At 36.0% G+C, this 24,988-nt stretch overlaps 1 protein-coding gene across 12 annotated transcripts in view, besides 5 other annotated features; it reads left to right on the top strand.

Annotated features, from left to right (window-relative positions):
- Positions 1-24,988, top strand: part of ZNF385D (zinc finger protein 385D) — a 960,546-nt gene that overhangs the window by 494,940 nt on the left and 440,618 nt on the right. The window contains exon 1 of one of the 12 annotated variants that reach the window (XM_017007195.2): positions 16,974-17,079. The exons of 10 other annotated variants lie outside the window; for them this stretch is intronic. In XM_017007195.2, coding sequence (XP_016862684.1) covers positions 17,013-17,079 — 67 coding nt within the window. In that variant the 5' untranslated portion in view covers positions 16,974-17,012. Of the gene's footprint in view, positions 1-16,973; positions 17,080-24,988 lie in introns of those variants that run through there. One more of the 12 variants, XM_047448958.1, reaches the window with a different exon arrangement.
- Positions 5,086-5,255: an enhancer, noted in NCBI's record as "experimental_68058 CRE fragment used in MPRA reporter constructs". NCBI's record gives its function as "activates a minimal promoter by MPRAs in K562 erythroleukemia cells, with activity observed for the introgressed 3:21914146 variant allele {active_cell/tissue: K562}" and the evidence as "EXISTENCE:reporter gene assay evidence [ECO:0000049][PMID:34662402]".
- Positions 10,870-11,039: an enhancer, noted in NCBI's record as "experimental_68037 CRE fragment used in MPRA reporter constructs". NCBI's record gives its function as "activates a minimal promoter by MPRAs in K562 erythroleukemia cells, with activity observed for the introgressed 3:21908362 variant allele {active_cell/tissue: K562}" and the evidence as "EXISTENCE:reporter gene assay evidence [ECO:0000049][PMID:34662402]".
- Positions 11,395-11,564: an enhancer, noted in NCBI's record as "experimental_68035 CRE fragment used in MPRA reporter constructs". NCBI's record gives its function as "activates a minimal promoter by MPRAs in K562 erythroleukemia cells, with activity observed for both the introgressed and non-introgressed 3:21907837 variant alleles {active_cell/tissue: K562}" and the evidence as "EXISTENCE:reporter gene assay evidence [ECO:0000049][PMID:34662402]".
- Positions 14,667-14,836: an enhancer, noted in NCBI's record as "experimental_68021 CRE fragment used in MPRA reporter constructs". NCBI's record gives its function as "activates a minimal promoter by MPRAs in K562 erythroleukemia cells, with activity observed for both the introgressed and non-introgressed 3:21904565 variant alleles {active_cell/tissue: K562}" and the evidence as "EXISTENCE:reporter gene assay evidence [ECO:0000049][PMID:34662402]".
- Positions 15,739-15,908: an enhancer, noted in NCBI's record as "experimental_68017 CRE fragment used in MPRA reporter constructs". NCBI's record gives its function as "activates a minimal promoter by MPRAs in K562 erythroleukemia cells, with activity observed for the introgressed 3:21903493 variant allele {active_cell/tissue: K562}" and the evidence as "EXISTENCE:reporter gene assay evidence [ECO:0000049][PMID:34662402]".

Genomic DNA, 24,988 nt, shown 5'->3' with positions numbered 1-24,988 from the left:
TTGATTAGATATCTCTACAAGCAGGTACGCTGATGCCTCAGCTCTAAAAGTGAGTCCGCATTGGTGGAGTTAATTTTCTTAGGTTCGTCCATTACAAATCCCAATTCTATCAGCATCTGACATAGCAGCTCACACATTTCACTGCAGGCCCCTTAAGAAAATTAGCTTTATTAACTAAGTACTAAAAATAGTTTATAATCCAGAGCAAACAAGAACTGCTATACAGCACAGCTGTGTTTTCCTTGAACCATTTCCGAGGCTCTCCAGAATCAATTACCACCAGTCGTCTATTGTGCCTTATATTTATATGGAAAGGTCAGGTTAAATTAATTAACTTTAAATAACTACCAAAGTGTGTGTGACACTGCTGTCATCCTTCTAATCTAACACGTTTCTGGGAATGTGCGTGCTCCCTAGAATCACAGTCTCAGAGAATGGGTCATATATTGAGGGCATCTGCTCTTGAATTGATTTCCTTAGTGGATCAAAATTCCAGGCCACTGTGCTTTTGAGGCCCTACTTCAGGCTGTAATCGATGTTTGGGTACAGTGTTTGCTGGGTTGGTGCTCAGTTTCATACAGAGCCAAAGCAGGGTAGTTATGAAAATGCCCATTCCTATGCAAACAGAAAGAGTATCTGAAATGACCTTGTTTATCGAGTCTCAGTGTTTTGGTGTTCCACATGGTAAGTTTTGCCTTTTTCCTGTACAGGTCACTTAGGGCAGGCGAATAAACCTGATCCCATGGTAGTTACAACCCTCTAGGGGTTCACAGTAATGGTGTTTTACTGCAAAAGCAAATGGATCATAGAAATTAAACTGAGCTTTAATTGTGTTAACAGTTGCTCTTAATCCTTCCTTGGAATGGGAAAAGTGTGGAAAGAAGTGCTTCTCTGCTTAATGGGCAAACACATAATGTAAACAATGATTCTTTGGAAGATTAGTGATCCTAAAGAAAGCAATTAGAGAAAGAAAGAACATTTAGACAGAAGCTAATGCTTAGTAGCTTGCAGCAGGGTGAAGCTGTACAGAATGTTATTTTCACATTAGATGGAATTCTTTCAAAGATTTTGTACTACAAAACAGGAAAATTGAGTTTTGGATAACTTTAATTGGTAAAAAAAAAAATCAAAAATATAAGAAAACTTGTTCTAACCCCTGTACTATTTTCTATCCATGAAATCATTATGGAAAAGCTGTTCTGTTCTTCATATTTACCCAGCACTGAGCACAAGGCATGAGACATAGTAGGTGCTCAATAAACGTAATAAATGTCAGTTGATTGAAGGGTTAAATGAAAACATGAGAAAGTAAGTCAGCCTTTAGTGTCATTCTTAGTCAAAAGAATATATATATTATATATAATTTTTCATTTTCTTGAAGACAAATACTAGATTAAGTTGTGTTAACAGATAAAACTCACAGGCAGTCAGTGGCTCTCTAGTGATCCCTAAATCATCCCAAAATGATTATATCCATACCGTTTTGACCAGGCTGAATGAAGACAGTTACTCTGAGGCACCCCTAATAGATAAGCAATAGGACAGAAAAAAAAAACACACCAGATTTGGAATAAAAAGTTCTACCACTTACAAGATATGTGTTTTGAAAAATTCCAAACATTTTCTATCCCTCAGGTTTTTTGTTTGTTTGTTTGTTTGCTTGCTTGCTTTACACTTACAAGATGCAAACAATATCATTCCTGATATCACAGCTTAAACTGAATATTATATTATGTGTGAAAATACTTTGGGAGACTGTAAAGCAGTACTTCTCAAACCAACTATGATGAAGTAACTCGTTTTTCTTTCTGGATTTTAAATTTCTAATCCATTGAGAACTGATGTTTTTAAATCTCCACATGTGAATGTCACAGCAATCCTAAATTGATATTAAGGTTTCTAAATGCCTAGTTGCAATTTCAATTCTTATCTTATTCTATGGATGTAGGAAATTGTTTGCTGACCAGCCTGGGTCTGCCAGATCTACTCTTTGAGTAGTGCTTCCATAAGAGCTGTACAAATAGAGCTGGAATGATGATGATCACAATGAAGATGACAACAGTGGTGGCAATGACACGGCTGCCACTACTTGGAGTGGCCTCGGAGTTTGATATCAAAGGCTGGCCTGGGTTTGAGCTGGTTGAGGGAGAAGTGAGTGTATTGCATACATGAGAAAACCTGAGCAAAGGAAAGATGAGACTCAAATGGCAGCACTAAGACCATTTTGCACTGGAGTATCAGATATATTTTGAAAAGAAGACTGTAGAGTGACTTTTTGAAAGACATGGGGGATTAGCAGGTAAAGAGAAGCTTGAAGTGGTATTTAGAGATGCTACATTTAGTGACTTCAGAAGGTATAAACTGAAGCAGCAATGTAGATTAATATTCAAGATATGAGGATAAAAGGGTGACTAAAGTGGGATCCAAAGCAAATGGGTGCCAGAAAAACAATGAAAGAAGAACTGATGGAGGCTATGATCTAATTTACATTTAGGGGAATGAGGAAAACAGTGGAAGATTTTGCAACCATGAAAATAAACACTGGAAGTTCTGACCAAAGAAATTAGGTTAAAAAAAAGAAATAAAAAGACATTCATATTGGAAAGGAGAAAGTAAAATTATCTCTGTTTCTAGATGACATGGTCTAATATGTAGAAAACCATACGTACTTCACACCAAAGAAAACTGTTAGAACTAATAAGTAAATTTAGTAAAGTTGCAGGGCATAAAATTAACATACAAAAATCAGTTGTGTTTCTGTACACTAAACAATGAATAACCCTAAAAGGAAATTAAGAAAATAATCCCATTTTAAATAACATCAAAATAAAAAAAGGCATCAAAATAATAAAATACTTATGAATAAACTTAATTAAGAACACAAAGCCTTATATGCTGAAAACTATAAAGCTTTGCTAAAAGAAATTAAAGAACAAACAAACAAGTGGAAATGCATCTCATGTTCATGAATTGAAATACTTAATATTGTTAAAATGTCCACACTTCCCAAAGCAGATCCAGTGCAATCTCAATTAAAATCTCAATAACATTTTTTACGGAAATAGAAAATCAAAATTATAAAATTTCAAAAGAATCACAAAGGACCACAAATAGCCATAAAATATCTTGAAAAAGAACAAAGCTAGAGACCTCACATTTCCTGATTTTGAAACATATTACAAAGCTACATTTCCTGATTTTGAAACATATTACAAAGCTACAGTAATCAAAAGAGTATGGTGCCATTTTAAAGACAGACACATGGATCAGTGGAAAGGAATAGAAAGCCCACATACATATGATCAAGTGGGAATACATCTAACTAAAAAGCTTTTGCATACCAAGTAAAGCAATCAACAGATGAAGAGGCAATACAGAGTGGGAGAAAATATTTGCAAACCATATATTTGATAAGGAGTTAATATCTAAAAAATTTAAGAAATTCCTACAACTCAATAACAAAAATTCAAAACAAATAACCTGGTTAAGAAATGGGCAAAGGATTTGATTAAACATTTTTCCAAAGAAGACATACAAATTGCCAGTAAGTATATTAAAAGATGCTCAACATCATTAAACATCAGAAAAATGCAAATCATAACCACAATGAAATATTGTTTACACTTGTTAGGATGGCCATTATTTAAAAAAAGAAAAGCAAAAAGGAAGAAGTGATAGCAAGAATATGGAAAAAATGGAACCCTTGTGTGCTGTTGGTGAGAATGTATAATGGTGCATCTTCTGTCAAAAATAGTATAGAGGTTTCACCAAAATAGTTAAAAATAGAACTACCATATGATTTAACAATTCTAATTCTGGGTATTTATACAAAAAAAAAAATGAAATCAGGATCTTGAAGAGATACTTGCTTACTCATGTTGATTTTATAATAGCATTATTCACAATAGCCAAGAAGTGCAAACAACCTAAACATTCATGGAGAGAAAAATAGTTAAAGAAAATCTGGTATACACATACAATGAAGTATTATTTGGCCATTCAAAAGAAGGAAATATTGTAATATGTGACATCATAGATGGACCTTGAAAACGTTATGCTAAGTGAAATAAACCAGTCACAAAAGGACAAATACGGCATGATTCTACATACAGAAGTTATCTAAAGTGGTCAAACTCATCAAAGTAGAAAGTAAAATGGCAGTTTCCAGGTCCTAAGCGGAGGCAGAAATGGGAAGTTTCTGTTCAATAGGTATACAATTTCAGTCACACAGGATGCAAAAGTTCTGCAGATCAGCTGTGTAACATAGTGCTTATAGTTAAGAATACCATACTGTACACCTAAAAAGGAAAGAAGGTGGATATCAAGTTATGTGTTTTTACCACAATAAGAAAGAGAAAATATGGCAATAAGTAGATACATAGAAAAAATGTAGAGTATTATATGTGAGAACAGGAAAAGAGCTGAGACTATATCATGGCTATGCCACTTCCTGTGTGCCTTTGGATAATCCATTTAAATTGATGAGATTTATTTATCTGTAAACTAACTTTAAAAATATACCGCCCATGTGGTCACTGTGATGTTGAATGTTATAACATATGATTCTGTATGTTAACCACTTAATAGTACATTGTATGCTGCATGAACACACTTATACACTTATATATCTATGTTCATATATCAAATCCATAGCTTTATCTTTCCATCATCTAGCTATCTACCTGTAACATATATTCTTTATCATTCAAAAAATATTTAAAGTTTATAAAATCCACTTGTACCAATAAAGATAAACCTTAAAAGAGAGAATTAAATTTTATTATATGATGCCGAACCTTGACTTGATCTGGGTATGTGCTTTCTTTGTACATAAATCGACTGGCACGAAATAGTGGTAACAGTTGTGTCATCCTGTCTTGGATGCACACCAAAGCCATTGAACTATAAATACTAGTTAAAACTGTTTTTGTGGCACCTCTTTTATTAATGGTAACATTATCAACTGTATACCCTTAATACTCTAAATTGTATGTATACAATTACATCTTTAGAGGGAGTGTGTTATCAAAACAGCATTGTAGCGGCTGGGAAATTTGCTGAAGACAGATTGTTATGTTTTTTGATGCTTTTATCCCTTCAGAAGTTTAGGTTTGCAAGCTCAGCAAACTCTATTTCTTTCAGGCCATTTTGCCACATTGTAAATGGCAACCATTTCATTATGGTCTCAGCATCTAAATAGTAAGACTTCACTGACCTAATGGTAACCATTGAAGTGTACAAGAGTGATATAAAACTTATCTAATTCAAAGACTTCTAGATTAAGGGCTGTAATTTTAAAACTCCTGTCACCAGGAATGTGTTGTTATTACATAAGACCAACAATATGTTTTTATTTGCTTATCCAAAATGCCTTCAGTATCTTCAATTCAATAGATTTTCATTTTTCAAAAAGTGTGTATATGGAGTTCCAGTTATGCATAGTGCTAGGAATATAAGAATAATAGAAAAGATGGTTCTTGACCTCAAAGTCTTTACAACATAATGTAGCATGCACTATGAGAAAATGCAACTTCAAACATGCTCAAATGGAAACAAACCTTACTAAGTCTGTACTGCTAAAGGCAGTTGTCGCCACATATATTACTCGAGCATCAATAAATTTCTGTTCTGTTTTTGTGTGTAATTTGTGTGTTTTTAACTTATAAATGATCTGTTCTAATATGAAGTACAAAGACTTCTACAAATGAAGACCTTAAATAGGATGATATAAAATATAAACCATATTTTAAAATACGTATATTTATTAAACAAGAAAATCTTTTTTTAAAAATTATTAAATAAAATGATGGGGTATTTTTTTTTCTGAGACAGAGTTTCGCTCTTTGTTGCCCAGGCTGGAGTGCAGTGGTGCAATCTTGGCTCACTGCAACCTCCACCTCCTGGGTTCAAGTGATTCTCCTGTCTCAGCCTCCTGAGTAGCTGGGATTACAGGCGCCTGTCGGCTAATTTTTGTATTTTTAGTAGAGACGGGGTTTCATCATGTTGGCCATGCTGGTCTCAAACTCCTGACCTCAGGTGATCCACCTGCCTCAGCCTCCGAAAGTGCTGGGATTAAAGGTGTGAGCCACTGCGCCCGGCCTGGAGTAATTTTTAAAACTGTTCCTAAGTTCAGTTTTCTTAAAGAAAACACTTGGTTCAGGATGCTATCTTAATCAAATTAAATCTCTCACAAAGAGGCATAGATAGAATAGAAGGTGTAACCATTGACAAAATTACTAAATCATGATAATCATTCCTTTATACATTGATTTGTTCAACAGTTATTTATTGAGTACCTACTATATGCCAGTCACTTTTCAAAACCATGGAAATGGAGCAATTAATATAACAAAGTTACTGCCTTCAAGAAGTTTACACTTTAGTGGACTGACCAGACAATAAACATAATTTTAAATTTTCAATAGTATTAATATTTCGGGTAGTTGCAAGTGCTATAGTAAAGAATTAAGCAAGGTCTAAATGATAGGAGTGTCTGCATGGATTGCTGTGTGATGAGAGTGCAAGGTTAAAGATCATCATTTTGACAATGTGACATTGGAGCAGATCTCTGGAGAAAGTGAGGGAAATACAGTGGGGAAGAATGTTCTAGGTAGAGGGAGCACTGTGTGCACAGGACCTGGTACAACAGCATGTCTGGTGACTCAAAGACTAGAGATGACCCGATACTGCCAGAATAAAGCAAGCAAGAGAGTTGTACTGAGAGATGAGGTCACAGAGTTGGGGAGAGTCTTCAGGCAGATAACTTGAGGTCCTGATAGCAGCAGTTATTCTGCTTGTAAGAACAAGCTATTAGTTTTTAGCAGATAAGTGGCATGATTCATTTTACATCTGAAAAATCTACTTCTGACTACTCTTCAAATAAGGAGAGCAAGAGTGCAACTAGGAAGACATGTCTGGAGTTGAGAGCTGTGGCTTGGATAAGAATGGTAGTGATGGATAAATGAGATCTGATCAGATTCTGAATGTAAAAATTGCAAAAGAAAGAGCAGACATCAGAATCACTCAGAGCAGTGGTATGCTAGAACATGCTAACAGCCAGTTCACAGAGCAGAAATGGGGTGTACATACATATACACGCACACACGCACGCCTATCTACCTATCTATAAAAGTGTTTATAAAATTATCATGCATACCAAAGATTGATAACAGTTGGCCATTTGAATACAAGGTTTGCGTGGCTGATTGGGCCATAGAAATTAAGATACCATACAGTAAGACATTTATTGATCATAAATATGAATCTCAGCTTGTATTTTAAAATCAGAGATCAGATACATTGTAATACTACTGCTTCTTACATGAATCACGTTTACGTACATGTTGAAGATAAGTAGCCGCAAGGATTGATTTGTTCACGGATAATTCAAATGAGCCACACTGGGTAGAAGAGCATCCATGTCTGGAATCACATCTTACTGTTAGTATGGTGAAACCACAGCTAGGGCCTGCCCTTTACCTTAGGGCTAACATCTAAATAAAAAGACATGTTGGGGAACAACTGCTCAATCTCTGTATTCCCTGCCTTGAATGCCTGGATGTTTTAAATTATAGCTGATCAAAACAGGTTAAAACAGTCAAGCCATGCTTGTTGACAATTATGATATTGGTCAGGAAGAACATAGACATTCTGTGTGGGAAAAATAATTCCTGAAGCATTTATATACAATTTTTTCCTTAAATCTGCAGTTATACATTTTTAGTGTATATATTAGTGTATATTTTTGGAATTACTGTTCAAATTTAACAATGAGAATGAGGATTTTGCAGATTTGAGAAAGTTGTTTTTTAAAAAAAAATCCACAGTGGGATATAAAAATATATCTTTTTATGAGTTTTATCTACTTAAAAAACCTTCTTTAATCAATTTTAATCTTACCAGTTTTAAGTTAAAAGAATGCCCTATTGTTAATTTGCAATTCTATGTTTAAGAGAACCACACCTACTTTATTGAACTACTTCTAATACCACTTTTGCAAGAAGCTTATTTAAATGCTATCTTAGATTGGCTCCAGGCTTAATTTTCTGTCTTATAGTATAAGATTCTAATCTGTACTCCAAATAGGTGGCATTAACTAATTAATACAGTTCATAAAATATTTTATTTTTCATCTTATGTTGCAGTAAAAGCTAACTGTGTTACGCTATTTTTTCTCTTAGAGTTCCTCTAACTGCATCACTTAGAACATGTAATACATTTTAAGCCTGTATTTAGCTTGTCAATTTTTCATTATTGATCCCTCAGAAATAGTTTAATGGTGCCTGTTCAACTTAGTGGGCTTTACTGACCTTCTGCTCTCAGCAGCATTTATTGAAGCCTGACAGTATCAAGGTTACTCTCTAAATGCAATATATATTCCCACTTTAGGAAAGATGTGCTGATGAGCGGTGGGGATCACATGTTGTAAGATATTACATTTGAAGTTTGGTGTGGGACATTAGTTAATACATATACTGCTACAAAAACTTATTTTGATAACTCTATTGGAATACCTATGTCCGCCTCTGAAGAGGATTTTCGGTCCCATCCCAATGTTATGCTATTTGACATTGTATCTCTGCCCTGTCAAAATATACCAACACATTAGCCATGGAAGATAGTTTTTAAATGAAATGATAAAATGATCTCTTTCTATTGGCTTAATCTACGTGCTAATGAGTTTGTATAACGTTGTTTCTTGGTCCCTCGAAACATTGTTATGCAGCATACAACTTTTGTAGAAGGGAAAACCGACGCTGTAAGTTTAAAAAATAAACTCCCAGTGAAACAGAAACAAAATGAATGTTGTTTTTTCCGTAATTCCTGCCAGCTGATGTTGCAGCATTATAATGTTCTGTGTTTTAGGCAATCTGTAGAATATGAGAGAGCATAAAATTTCACCTCTGAAAATAGGGTCTAATTCAGGAAGGCACAATTTGCCTCGAGTGTCCATGTAACAGATGGATAACATGTCCACAATGCAATAAGAATTCAGTCAAAGAAAGTATTATTGTAATTGAAAATACTGTGCTCTGTTCAGGTACAAACATATTATCTTCTAACTTATTTAGATGCTGGAAAATAGTTTTTACTTTCTATCTAATTTACATATGTGAACTAATACGCTTTACATGTTTAATTGCTGTGTAATAACTCTCCACTGTGTCCAATGGTTGGAACCAAGAATTGTCCCACAGTGTCTCAGCTGACCAGCACATTAAACTGGTAGATATGGTAATAGTACAAAAACATTTGTCTCTGAATAGATGACGAGGAAGAAAATGGAAGGAAGGAATTTCTTATTAAGGATGATTCATGTGAAGAAGATGCCTGCTTTGGTTCAAATAAAATGTTAACCAGAAGTGGAAAGGGGAATGTTAAAGCAAGTGCTTGTAGTAGCAGTGAGACCCTTGCTTAGAGTAGCTATATACTCACATTCCCCTATTATTTTCTCATTCATAAAATCATAGAATTATCATGAGCAGGGGTCTTTAAATATGGCCCATAGGCAAAATTTTTCCTGTTGCCTCTTTTGTAAATATATGTTTATTAGTACACAGCCATAGCCATTTGTATATGGATTGTCTATGGATGCTTTCAGTGCAATAAGTGAGTTGAAAAATTGCAACAGAGACTGCATCGTGCACGAGCTTAAAATACTCTCTGACTCTACAGAAAATGTTTGCCAACTGCTGCTCATGATAGTGAAATGAAAAAATGCTTGTACATTTCTTAACACAGAACCTAGCAAATACTAAATCTTCACATACATACATATATGCATATATTTTAGTTACTGTTACTATTGCAGGCCAGTTTTGTGCTAGGTTCAGTTTCTTGTTTAAGGCTGTACTGGTCAATATAGTGGCCACTACCCATATGTGGTTGTGTAAATTTAAATTAGAAGTAAACAAAATATAAAGTTCAGTTTCTGAGGTGCACCAGCCACATTTTAAGTGTTCAAGAGTGACATGTGACTAGATAGAGAACATTTCTATCATCTTAGAATGCTTTGTTGGACAGCTCTGGCTTAAGGTCTCAAAACTGACTAAAAAGACTGGTTGAGGTTTTTTTTTTTTTTACTTTTCCTACTAAAACATATTGCCTCTTGGCATTGAGACATTGAAAGGCATTAATATAAGCTAATAAAATGGCAAATCATTTAAAAGTAGTCATCAAAATGTATGTATTCCCAGGGCAACATTTATAAACAGTTAAAAACTAGAAATGTAAACATAAATAGAGTAAATACAAGATGCAAATAGAGTAAATCAAGACGCAATCTTGACAGAGACAGATGATTTTCATGATTACTGCACTCCTCACAGGTAGAGAGCAGGAGAACCTGCTTTGAAATACAGACTCCTAAAGTAGCAGTTCCCAAATCTACTGATTAGTTCTCAGCCTTGGCTGCACAATGGAATCACCTGGAGAGGTGAGGCCTGAGTCCCACCTCTGGAGATTTTGATTTAATGGGTGCTAAGGTCTGAATGTATCCCTCCAAATTCATGTGTTAAAAAATCAATTTCCAATGCAACAGTGTCAGGAGACGAGGCCTAATGGGAGATGATTAGGTCATGAGGCTTCTTGACCTCAATAATGGATTAATGCCACTATAAAAGGGATTGTGGGAGTGGGTGCACTCTCTTCTGCTCTCTGTGATGTGAGGACACAGTGTTTATCTCCATTTTGCCCCCCTCCCTTCTAACATGTAATGATGCAGCAAGGCCCTCACTAGACACCGTATCTCAGTGTCTTGGACTTTTCAGCCTCCAGACTTCTCTCCAACCTCAAGGTAGTTTTCTTTATAAGTGACCAAGTGTCAGGTGTTCTGTTATGTAGCACAAATCGACTAAGATAATGGGTATTGGGTGCAGCCTGGCCTTGGTATTTTTTAAGTCTCCTCATTTCATTCTAATAGGCACTGATAAGAAATTTTTGGACCTATCTTAAGCCCAAAGATGTGGGCCCTAGGCAGGCCTTTGTATTTTAATCACTACCTGATGATTCTAATTATTGATTTAAAGAATATATTGATAAAAGCACGGCATTAAATTCTGTAAATATTTGCTAAAATGGAGGGAAAAGAGGCAAAATAACATCTAGCTACTATTTATGCCAAAACAAGTTACTCTATAGCAGTGGATCTCAAGTGTGGTGGTAGGACCAGCAGCATCAGCATTACCTGGGACTTGTTGAAAATGCAGATGTCTTGGGTTCCACCCCATACCTACTGAATCAGAAACTGAGGTCCCGAAACCTTTAATGAGCCCTTGCTCCAGTTGAGTATGATGCAAACCAGTTTGAGAACAATATCCGTAGATCAATAGCGGTGCCCTCATAAAACCTGGCGAGTATTTCTTTTTTAAGATGGAGTTTCACTCCTGTTGCCCAAGACAGAGAGTGCAATCGTGCGATCTTGGCTCACTGCAACCTCCACCTCCTGGGTTCAAGTGATTCTCCTTCCTCAGCCTCCCAAGTAGCTGCGATTACAGGTGCACGCCACCATGCCCAGCTAATTTTTTGTATTTTTAGAAGAGACGGGGTTTCACCATGTTAGCCAGAATGGTCTCGAACTCCTGACCTCAGATGATCTGCCTGCCTCGGCCTCTCAAAGTGCTGGGATTATAGGCGTGAGCCACTGCGCCCAGCCCAGTGTTTTTTTTTAATACCAGATTTATAAAATCAAAATAAAACTATTTTTCTACATATGTTTACAACCTGTTAAATTAACAGTGTATATATGTATATTTGTACATACACATACTAATGTTATAAATAGATACACATGAATGTAATATTAATATTCATAATATTAAATGATAATATAATCTAGTATTTCCTAAGATAATGTTCAGTCACTACAAACACAATAATGTAAATTTCATGAGTGTCCTTCGCATTATCACAGCATCTGTCAACCCAAACAGGATAAGTGATAGCTTTAAGCTGCAAATACAATATTTATATTGCATTTAATCTTTTGGTTGTATTGAAGTAGTAAAGAGTACATTTGAATATAGTAACTAGATCAATTACTGGTGCTTGAATTTCAGGTATGTTGGTATTTCACAAAATAATTTTAATGGGAACAAAATTCTGTTTGTGTAAATGAAAGCTCAAGTTCTTCCATAAACTAAGTTCCTCAAACTATAAGATCACCTAATTTAACAGATTACCCAGCAGTGTTCAGCTCTCTGCTCTCCCAAAGCAAGTTCTTGATAAAGATACAATGTATGACGCTTTGAAATTTATTTTGTAATATTCAAGAATGCACATTGACAATATAGTTAAGGAAGATCTGCAAGTTCTGCTGGAGCAAACTGATAGCAGTGTTGGTGATAAACATACTCTATCCCCCTGGACCCATTCAAAATGCCTTAATAATAATATGGTTTTTAAGGAAGGTAAGTGACTTTGTTAAATTGCTGAACAAGGATTTTATCTTTCACGAATGATGCAAAAGCAAACTTCAGTCAGACCTGTATCCAATAAGTCACAAATTCTAAACAAAACTAGCATGAAATGAGTTTTGAGATTCCACTGTGTATTGATTCCATCTATTTGTAAGTGTGTATAGCAGATTCATTATATTTCTTAAGGGATCCGGAAGCCCATAATGCATAGCAAATACTCTAATTACTTGTAGTTCTATTATAGCCTTATCTTACAATAATGACCAGAAGAAAAACAACCAAATTATACCACATGAAAGTAGATACGGCAAGTGGTAGGCTCCTCCTCTCAAAAAAAAAAAAAAAAAAAAAAAAAAAAAAAAGTCTTCCCTGTACCCCACAGAGTAATTGCTGCAAAGTGGAAGAAAAAAAAAAAAAGCATTGTTCCAAACGTAGGTTGGCTGCTCCAGGCCATTATGATCACACTAACGATGTTTGACTATTTGGTAAGTAGCACTATAAACTCTCAAGGCTTCATTTCACACACCACTTGTATTTACTTGACCTACATTTCTGAGTTATTGGAATAATAAAGAATGATATTTTATAAGGACATTTTTAGGCTTGAATAGTAAACCTCTTAGTAAGAAGAGACAATGAATAGAATTAAACAAGGTGACAGATAAGAATAAATATTGGAATGGAGAGCTTTGTAGTTATCTTCAGGCAAACCCATAGCAAAAAGACTCACTTTAGAGTTATAACAATAGTAGAAACTTGTCTAGTCCCTGAGAAAATGATCATATTTGATTATTTTATTAGTATTTAAAACACTGTCATTTAGTCAAAACCCATACTGTGCCAAAGATTGTGAGGTATGTTTGATGTATGTTAGCCAGTTTAATTCTCAAAAGTGTGCATTCTGTCCATAATTTAAAAGAGAAACTGAGGTTCATAGTGATTAAGGAACTTTTCCAGTTACACTGCTAGAATTAGAGGAACAAGGATTCAAGAGAGGCAAGGCAAATAGTCACAATTCATAGAGTATGTAGTTGGTACTCAGAGAATTTGTAATTTTCCTAAGACTTTGCATCCGCTGCATTCCCTTTTTACCGTAAATGGGGTTGATATGAAAAGGTTGCTTACCTGGTTAAGCTATCAGACTTCATGAACTTCATGATAAGGATCAAATGTCACATGCCTTTTCTTTAAAATATCTCAGGTAGTGAACTCAGGGTTTTAAAATGGCAACAAAAGGACTGGTTGAGAATTCAACTGTAAAATGAACCCTTTGTGTATGCATGTACACACAAAAACAAACTGAATACACAACTATATTCATCGGTAGAGGCACACTCCTTACCTGGATCTTCCTTTATTGTGAGGAAACTACTTTTTTGGTTACACAACGTATAATCCATGAACCGGCATCATGAGTATCATCTGAAAGCTTGTTGGAAATGTAGCATCTTCCCCAGATTTGCTGAATCAGAATCTGCATTTTGAACAAGATTCCTGGTGATTCATGTGCGCATTAATGTTTGAAAAACTCATTATGTTCATATTTTATAGAGGCCTGGGTTGGCATTGGCCACTTCCCTCTGCATGCACAGATACACTAATAGAGTTAGTTTTCTTTCTTTACTGGCAACATGAGTCCTGCCTTAAAATTCCAGCTTTTCTGTATCAATCGTACTGACATAATTCAACTGTCTTTCTTTGCAAGTTCTTGTTCTTTTCGAAATTATATCACTGCAGAATAACTTTCTTCCACTATTCAGTAGACCTTCCATAGTTTCTTATCTTCTCTCTCATTATTAAATTTCCCCAACCCTTAAGTGCAATTAGGTTAACTACTAGCTAGCCCTGGGAAACATAGGTTTAAAACCTTTCCTTTGATGACCATTCTGTGTGTATTAAATTTACATTCTATTTCTATTTCTCATAGTCAATAAGGTTGCTCAAAGAATGAAGACAAACTTTCGATATGAGCATTTTGACATTTGTTAATTATTCATCTTTCCATGCAGTCAACAAATAATGACTGCCTACAGTGGCTCAGAAAAAGAGAAAATATATTACAAGTTATAATGAAATGCTTACACTTATTTTTAAAAGAATGTCAACAATTTTGGATATCTAATTTGATAAAATTTAAACGAATGAGACAAATGATGAAATCAAGAAATAAAAGAAATGAAGCTATCAGTATATTGTTTTAGCTCTTTTTAATGAAACTTCTAGTTCAATATCAGTAAATTATTTTGCTTGGATATGAACTCTAATATGTTTTACCAACATGATTTTATGCTACTGGCCTCTAGGATTTTGAGGATAGTGGACTTTATAAATATTTATGTGTGTATTTTCAAATATCTATCCCTCTTTACAAGCATAGTATTTGCATATATTTTCACATATTTGTACACAAAGTGAGATAAAGTCAGAAAAGGAGGGGTAAGTGGACTTTTCAGACTAAATCAAGTGGAGTGGGATGTAGGATGACATTAGTCTGCCTTTATTAAGCTCCAGAAATTCTGAAACAGCTGAGACCACTTGTAACTGAGCTAACAGTTCAGTTTGACTTGAAGTTAGGTCTTTCTTAGGTCAAAGAGCTGTTGGCAAAACAATCTCAGATCTGTGGCAGCAGATGTAACAGGGACCGTGCTAACAGAAAAAGAACTTCTATAAGGAGCCCTTGGGGAGGCACAGCTAGCTGCTGGCCTGGACATCTTCATCTGGGCTGCAGGATGATGGCCTCCCAGGCCCATTGGTTCTCTCTAATTCAGTTAGCTCTCTTTAGCATACGTCTTTATGCTGGAATGCTATACACATAATATAATGGCAATATGAAAAGAAGCCTTCATTCAAATGTGCCACAAGTTGGCAATGGTGGGAGTTGCCATGGCTTCCTTATTTAAGTTTTGGCAAATCCATGGCCAGGAATGACTATGGAAGACATTTTGTCCTATTTCTGTTACTTTTCCTATTTCTTACAATCGTACTGTGATATAAGAATCTCAGGCTGGTCGACATTCCATGCTGATTTATATCACTTTGAGTATGTTCTCAGTTTCAAAGGTGTTATACTTACTGCATATTTCTTAACCTGAGCTTGATTAAAAAAAAAAAAAAGTAGAGATATCCTGCCTCAAGTACTTAGAATTCATCAATGATGCTTCTGTAGTAGGGCTGTTTCTATCCCTAATCACTTAAATGTGGAACTATGAGTTAAGGTATTCTACAATATCTTATCAAAAGAATTTGATATCAATATGGAAAAGTGATCATATAAGCAAGGTACTCGGCTGTTTGTCCTACTACCTACTCTACTTTTTTTGTACATTTGAAATATTCCATAATTTTAAAATATATACTTATAAAACCATAAAGGGATTATTTAGCTCATATGACCAGATGATAGAGCGTTAGTGTTAGGGCTCACTTGATTTATGTGATTACGTCTTCAAGGCATGGCATGGTTTTCCTGAAGTGTGAGTAGCTTCATTTTTGTATAGCTGCTAGAACTAGACCTTCATGTCTCACTGGTTGTGACTGTGTGTGTCAAAGTCTCAAGGGAATGCTAGGTACTCATTGGCATAGAGCAGGTTACTTCAACCAAAGACACTGAGTGAGAGAGATGAAATTGCCCTGATTGGGTAAGACAAAGCAGATTCCATCTCCAAATTTTCATACTTCTCATAAAAGGGAAAGAATTGCTCCTGGGGAGACAACCACAGTATTTACTACATGCTCTTATACTATTAAGACCACATCCACCTATGGCTATTAAAAGGATTCTCCCTATATGCCATCTGGCTTTCTCAACAAGGGTTTGAAAATCAATGCTGCCTGTGACTCAGTGATTTTAGTGTTCAACAGTTTCAGATCAGTTATATATTGGTAAAATTCTCCCCGTAGACATTTTCCATTAATTGTATTTATCTAAATTTGCACTCCTCACACAAGAGAGAGCTTACCTGTTTCAAGGTCACATTAGAAATGTCTTCAGAGTACAGCACATTAAGTGAGATGAGTGAAGGCAATTAGATAAATGCATGTTTATGAGCAACAATGGATGCCCCTAAATAAAAAATTCCACTAACTTCTGAACACAGCAAAATTGTAATTATTCTGAATTTTCCAGTTTATAGTGGCAGACTGTATTGATACAGCCAAAACACCTGGACTATGGCACGAAAAAAATAGAACTTGTTTTGAGAGCAGTCTGTTCATTTGGCTTCCCAGATACACCAAAGCTGAAGCGGGGACTGTCCTGTGAGTAGACCAGTGAGTTGGCCAACCTCATTGGCTTGGCTGGATGGACTAAAATATTTTTGTTTGACCTTGAGTGGATAACGCTTAAACTGTTCTTTGTCTGCTCTATGCTGTATATTTTAAGTATTGCAAGGTATAGAGGTAACTTAATCAAACCTTTACCATATATCAGCCATAAAAAATAAGCACTGGCAGATGTGCCTAGAGACTAAAAGAAATCAGGGCAACTAAATGAGAATCAGACATCGAATCTAAATGGATGTTATTACAGTCTGCCCCTTTTCATTTGGTTTGACAGGAATCTCCAAGTAGAGACTCTGGTGGAGTTGCTACAGGCATATGTTCAGATTCCTTATCCTGGCCTTCCCTGGAGCAGCAGAAAGCCTTTGCCATGAAACTGCCTCAGGTATCAGTGGCTGAAATTAATATATGATTTTGAGGCAGAAGTTAGAGAAAATGTTTGGAGGCCTGACTTTGAAAACTATTGAAAGGATTTTATTAAACCTGACAATGGACATGCTAAGTCTAATGCAGTCAGGATGCTTGATCTGTTTCCTGTCCCAGGAGCACTTTCATGTTGGCAGTGGCAGTGTCTCCCTTTTTAACTGATGTTGATGTGGGGATATCTGTACTTATCTCACTGATGAAAGAGGCCAAGTATTAATAATCAGCTTATAAAAGTAGTCAATATTGTGAGTTTTTAAGTATTTAACTTGCTTGGCAAACATATTGATTAATCTGTAAACATGTAGATATATGGGGGTTGTCAAACTACTGCCTGAGACCAAATCTTTTTGACTGCTTGTCTTTGCAAATAAGGCTTAATAGTAATGCAGTCCCACCCATTTGTTTACAGATGACTGTTTTGAATTGCAGTGAGACAGTTGAGTAGTTATGACAGTGATCATGTCAGCACAAAACTGAAAACATTAATATCTGTCTCTTTACAGCAAACGTGCTCAACCTTGGTCAAAAACAACCTCTTTTAGAAATACTTTTTTTGCATAAAAGAATATACTTCTGTAGTTGTTAATTTGCTATTTCAACATTCATCCTAATTTTGTACTTTTTTAACCCTAAAAGAGCCTGTGATTTAGTGAAAAATTCTAGTCCCAAAAAAGTGGGTTCCAAGTTTTCCTTTTCTTTTCTTTTTTAATTTCTGATACTTTTCAAGTCAAATTGTGTCTGAAATTATTTCCCCATTTCAGCAGGATGCAGAGCGTGACATCCTCCCTGTCCCGGGGAAGTTACGGCATACATAATGCATGAATCTTCGGGAAGATCTGAGCCTTTGAATACACAATTACACTTTGGGCTTCAAATGGAAAGTGCCACGTTTGGAAGCAACTTGAAGTTTCCCAAAATATTTGTTTGCAGTTCTAATTTCAATAATTAACATAAGGATTAAAACATTTTTCTTATCTTTCAATTCCAGCAGTGAGGTCAGCACCTCACAACTACAGGAAAAAAAAAAAAATGCCTTTGGAGTCACAGCCAGCAATAATGTTGTTTCAGCAGCAGGCTCTTCACAGGGAGGAGAGGTCTGCAGGCAGCTGAATTGATGGGCCTGCACCTTGACATGGCATGAGACATGCTGTTTTCTCTCTTTTTCCTGAACTCTCTATTCCACGGGCCTCTGATCAGAGCAAAGAGAGTGGAGGCAGAATGTTGTTTTCATCTACATGACCATGAAAACAGGGCAAGTGTGGTTTTCCCTTTATTGTTTTCAGTTTTTTTTTTTTTCTGTTACTTTCCAAAGACAACTAACTACTTAAGAGGAAAGATAAAGCCACACATGCATAACCCCAGACTCTCCAACTTCTGGGCCGCCACAGGCTCCTTTTGTTCCAAGCTTTCTTCCTGAAGCAGAAGTGAATCTGCGGGCAGGGTATAAAGCGCAGTTTTGCTGAGGGACGTTCTTTGAGCTTTCACCATCCCCTGGAGCAGAAAGGCTCAGGAGCTGTTTTTTGGTTTTCATCTCTTACCTGTGTTTCCTTACTATTTACAGAAATGACAAATTTTATTTCCAGATGGCATTTCTACTTGAAAGAATCCCTTCCTCAAACCTCAGATATGAAAGCTGAGTTTTACCTTTTCTCTCCCCGCCTACTTCCCCCCGTTATATGTATGAGGATGATTGTGATATCTGCTATTCTAGCTTCATGATATCAAATCAGTTTCTATATATCTTGAGATAAAGCAGTGAGGGGAAACAGGAACCATGTGGCATTTACAGATTGGACCTGTTATCGGATTCACTGGCACTGTGAGGTGAGTGAGCAGCATAGAACTGCACCATGGCAGGATATTGAATTAATGATGCAATCCATGAATACCACCTCAATGGAGGAGTTACGTGGAGAACTTATGTAGAACTATAAAATTCGGGAACATGGATATCCAATCATTCGTGCTGTCTTAGTCTGTTCAGACAGCTTTAACAAAACTATCATAAAACTGAGTAGTTTATATATGACAAACATTTATTTCCCACAGTTTTAAATGCTGGGAAGTCCAAGATTAAGGGCCCAGCAGATGCAGTGTCTCCTGAGAGACTATTCCTCATATTCGGTGCCTTCTCACTGTGTCTTTACAGGGTGGAAAGGGGCAAACAAATTCTTTGGGTCCTCTTTTATAAGGACACTAATCCATTCATGAGGACTCTACTCTCATGAGCTAATTAACCTTTGAAGGCCCCACCTTTTAATACTATCACACTGGGGATTAGGTTTAAACATGTGAATCTGGGGGTAGGGGGGACATAAACATTCAGACCATAGCACATGTGAACCTTTGAAATTTGACCAGAGTCCACTGTGCATATAACTGTTCCTTGGTGGCCGATGTTAGAACATTTGAAGCTACCTCCCTACCTTAACACCCCTCAGAATTGCCTCTTCTGAGTTTTATTTTGATTTTGTGACCTTGACTTTTTCTGACGTTTCTGAGATAAACAGTACATTGGATTGTATTTCCCTTTTTTTTTTTTTTTTGATAGACTCTTGCTGTGTCCCAGGCATGAGTGCAGTAGCACCATCTTGGCCCACTGCAACCTCTACCTCCTGGGTTCAAGTGATTCTCCTACCTCAGCCTCCCGAGTAGCTGGAGCTACAGGCTTGTGCCACCATGACCAACTAAATTTTGTATTTTTAGTAGAGATGGGATTACAGGTGTGAACCACCATGCCTGGCCCTGGATTGCATTTCTAGGATTCCTTTGAAACTGTATTTAAAGGACACTGCCTTGCATTTGTTCCATGGCTATTTATTAAGTCCCTATGTGCTGATTGTTCTCCAGTTGTCCCTCAGATCGTTTCATCCTCCTCTGCTTGGCTCTATGCCTTGAAAAGGTGACTCCTCTCTGAATTGCTGTGTTCCATTGACCTCTGCTTCCCGTTGTGTTTGGTCAATTAACAGCATCAGTAAGAGAGTCAAGGGCAGGAGGCAACAGACTTCAGGGTATAAACCCCATTCCCTGGCTCCTCTGGTTGTGTGACTGGGGCCATTTTCTTTCCCTCTGAGGCTGCAACTCCTCCTCCATTACTTCAGCTCTCACTGAGCTCCAGGACTTCTTTAGTCCCACGACTTCCTCTTTGGGCCTCAGAATTATGAGGCCCCGTGGTTGCTAATTTCTGGGTACCACAAATCCCTTGTTAATTTCCTTAATTCCAACCACACACCCTGTGTACTCCCTGTAGGAACAGCAACAACAACAAAAAATCTCTTAAAACTACTTAAATAGAGTTATGTTTCCCCTGGCACCTAAGGAATACAACTTACTATGTGCTAGGCACTGTTCTAGGCCTGAGGATACACTATGAGCAAAACATCAAGAAACCTTGCCCTCTTTTGCATCCTTCAATCCAATCATGTTGACACACAATATTAACTATCACAGAAACCATCAATAAAAATATAGAAAAAATAACTAACTTTGTTGTTGGTGCCATGAAATGACCTAACTAAATATATACTATTTGATAGGGCTGTAGAGTGACATTAAAAAGACCAAGAGGATCGGGAGAGTTGGTGAGGGCTGAGATCAGGTTACTACAGTTTTAAATACTGCGGTGAGGAAAGGCCTAAATGAGAAAGTGACATGTGAGAAAGGACCTAGAAATTGCATTTCTGCTTCGAATAGAACCCTTCTTAGGTGGAACATGGTTAAACATGAGAAGGTTACCTATTTACCTTACCTCCACTTAGATTGGCCTCTTCTGCATTTTGTTTTGATTTCATGCCTTGGACGTTTTTAAAAAGATTTCTAAGACAGTGATTTGGAATCACCTTCTAAAATCTCCTTTGATCCGTAATTTAAGGACATTGCCTTGCATTTATTTGTTGAATAGGTCATTATTGAGCACCTATGAGCTGGTTGTTCCTCACGTGTCTTCTCAGAGGTTGAGGGATAAGAGAAAAATCAGGTCAACTAGTTAGAAATACCCTGCAATAATTCAGGCAAGAGATGATGGTGGCTTGGACTGGGTATCGATGGTGGAAAGAGTGTGTGGTCAGATTCTGGATTTATTCTGAATGTGGACCCAACAGAATTCCTACTAGTTTATATGAAAAAGAAGAAAGAAAGAAAATAAGGGGGAAAATTCCAAGATTTCTGGCCTGAGTAGCTGAAAGGATTACAGCCGATTTTGAAAAGATCAAGAGTTGCATATTTTACATGTTAATTTTGAAGTGTTTATTGATATTAAAATGGAGACGCCCTAGAGGCAGTTGAGTCTGAAGTTGAGAGAAGGGGTTCAGAAAGACGAGAAAATATTAGGAATGTTATTTAAAGCCAAGGGATTGACTGGATGACATTACAGAGAGAGTGAATGCAAGCAGAAAAGTAGAGGGGTCCATGGATGTAATCCTGGACATTCCAGTGTCTGCACTTTAGTTGTTGAAATAGATCCATCAAAGAAGTCTGTGAAGAAATGACCGGTGATCAAGGAAGTAGGAGAGATCAATATCAACCAATGCTATAAAATACCTCATGTGAAAAATTTATCTTGGAGATTATAGCAAGAAAAAAATTTCTCCTCTCAGATAATGAGCATTCTGTAACTTATATTTGTTGACTTATGCTTCAGCTAGTGAAACTCTTAAAACCAAGTTACACACACAGACACACACATGAATACTATATATGTATATCTTTACACATAAACTTAGAGGATAGATAAGTGATTGATAGACAGATTTCATCCAGTTCTGTGTTTGGTGGCAGCATGTTGTTATTAGCTACCACCTCTAAAAACCTCAGCAAGATGTAAATAAACTAAAAAAAAAATCATAGGATATTATAGTTGTCACCACAATTCATTATTATGAAGAGTCAAGCATGATCTAGATCAGCTCATAACCCTTAAACTGTATCTACAGTGAAGAGGAGTTTACTTAAGTTATTACTTTAAATTTACTTTAATATCACCTTCTCATTCTGTACCTTTTAGCACAAACAGTTAAGTAAACATTTTGGGGGTAGACTAAATGGAGATTCTGCAAACAGAAGAGCTCCAGGTCTATATTGGTATATATCTTATTTGGATGATCTTTTCTGATTAGTATGGTGAGGAAAACTAAAAACTGTACTTTTAATGGATTCTGATTAATGCAGTGATTCTAACTTTCTTTGCAAATAGGAAAGCAATGGAATCTAGACTCACTGGATTAAAACAGTAGAGATGCCGAGGAAGATCTTATAGCCACAGAAGAGGGCAAATGTGGAGGCTGTAATACCTTATCTCCATGAAGAGATGCAACTTCTCAGCAGTCTGTACAGTATGCATCTTTTCACACACCACACAATGATTAATTCCCTGTGTGGTCCAGGTGCAATATCAGCTTGAGTAAGCAATTTGGGATGCCGAAGAGTAAAATTTTTTTTATCAGCTAAAAAATTCTTAAGGGAAAGCAAACAAATTATTTTGAGACAGTATGCAAGGACTAGATTGCTAGCGATTTCTCAGAGAAAATAACAATATGCTGTTACTTTCAGAGATAGGTATGGGAATGGGTGTGGGGAGTAGTAATGTAGCTTTTGATAACAACATTGCCCATTTATTAAAAGAAGTCTGAGAAGCCACTGAGAAAAGCCAAGTAAGAATTCTGGTGGAGTTTGGATATGGGTAAAAATCATGTTGTATAGATGTGAGTGCCAGCCAGTCACATCTTTCTGGTACAAAGTAGGTACTTAATGTTTGCTGAGTGAATTTACAGATCAGATTAATGAAGACATTAATTATAATTTTCAATTTACTACTCAAACCTGTCATCATTCCTTAGCTGGCCATATCACTGTTACCCAATGACATTAATTAATTTACTCAGTTATTATTTAGTTCATTCAATTAATAGGTCAGTTAATCTATCAGTCAACAAATATTTATTAAGTGCCTATTAAATGCCAAAAGTTATGACAGACCCTGGGAACTGAAATGGAAAAGCCATAGTCAGGATTAAAGGTATTTTTGGTAAGTCAAAGAGACAGATAAGAAATAATAAATCCCAACAACAACAACAAAAAGATGCTGCTACAGGTACAGCAAAAACTCATAAGAATAGGACTGGGTACGTAATTTCAGGGCACAGAGTAAAATAAAATGCCTGGTCCCTTGTTGAAAAGTTGTTAAGAATTTTAAGATGTCTACAGAAGATCATTAAACCAAGTGCAAGGCCTATATTATTGCCAAGGTTGCGTGCCCATGAAGCTAATCCGGCAAAGAATTATCTGATTCTCTCCATCTGCATAGAATATTTTTGGAAGGGCTTTTTGAATAAGTGGCATATGAGCTCCGTTTTAAGAGATACTTTAAGTTTCCTAGGCAAGGTTGGAATAGGATGTAAATAAGTGGAGGTGGGCATTGAAAGTTTTCTTTTCTATGGTTAAAAAGCAAATATTGTAGCCAGGAAATGATAACCGGTTCAAAAGCTCTCCTTTAAGGATGAATGGAGCGGCCCAAGATGAGAATAGAAAAATAGATAAGGAAAGTTAAGACTGCCCTTTTGTGCATGCTAAGTAATATGGGTAAATATCACAGCAGTACTATCTTTCTTGTTTATTTTATTGCAGTTTAATTTCCAAAATGTACAAACCTTAAATATGCATCTGAATTACTTTTTATATTTGTATATGCCCTTTTAATCACCACCTAAAGGTATAGAATATTTTATCATCCCAGAATATTAAATTATTTTCCTTTTCCGTCAATAGTCCAATCTGCCATAATCACTCTTCTCATTTCTATTATTATATATTTATATTGCCTTTCTTGAACTTCATATACATGGAATTATACAGTATATAATCTTCCTTTTGTTTTCAGCTTTATATTTTAATGAATAACATCACAGTCATATTTTCAGTTAATCCTTACTGTAATCCATGAAGAAATTATTCTTGGCCCTCTTTTTTACAGATGAGGAAATTCACTCATCGTGATGAAATGACATGTCAAGAGTCACATTAACACGTAATAAAATCGAGGCTCAAAATTCATTCTTCCAAGTCTAAGTTAAATTTATCCTCCATATTTTTTTCTAGCTTCCCTTTTGTTCGGGTCCACTTCATTTTTTTCCCCACAATTACGTACTGAGGCATTTATGATATGATAAAGTGACATTCTTGAACTAAAAAAAAAAAAAAAAGGACTGCAATTTTAAACAATTAAACTCTAAAACACTTGAAACCTTTAGCATTATTGTTACTAATTGTAATGACCTTGATCACCATCATGCTATAAATATTAAAGTGGATTGACTTACTGAACATATTATTTCTGATCTAATAGATATTACCACTTTTCTTCCTAAAAAATGTTTTAAAACCACGATACAGGAAAATATTTATAAAAGAAGACAGACTTTTCCAGACCTTTTACTGTCCTTTTATGGAAAGTGATTATAGGCACTCTTGCCAACAATAAGAAAATCTTTATTCTCTTAAGTAGGTAAGAATATATAACACCAATCACACTTGATTTTAATGTATATTTGCTGTTTTTTTAAACCCTACTCTAAATGTATCTTTTTGCTATATGTTTAGTTTGATCACACACTCTTTTCAATTTCTTTGAAGTCAGTTTTTTGAAATGGAAATGTATGGAGAACTTTAATTGGCTTTTACTACATGCAAAGGAAATCTCAAAAATAGGTCCAGAGGGATGTTTTATTAGTGTGGAGGGAACAAGTGGAAGAAATTGAAACTGATTTCTAGACTTGGATGTTTAACATATTTTCCTCACGGGATTATTCTGTATTTCATGATGACTTAACCAGGGGCTTTAGAGAGAACATTATTTCTTTGAATACAATTTTCTT

This window comes from Homo sapiens, chromosome 3 (assembly GCF_000001405.40).
Source record: "Homo sapiens chromosome 3, GRCh38.p14 Primary Assembly".
NCBI classification, from domain to species: Eukaryota; Metazoa; Chordata; class Mammalia; order Primates; family Hominidae; genus Homo; species Homo sapiens.
Note: the sequence above shows the minus strand (reverse complement) of the source record. Positions and strands in the feature narration are given on the sequence as shown.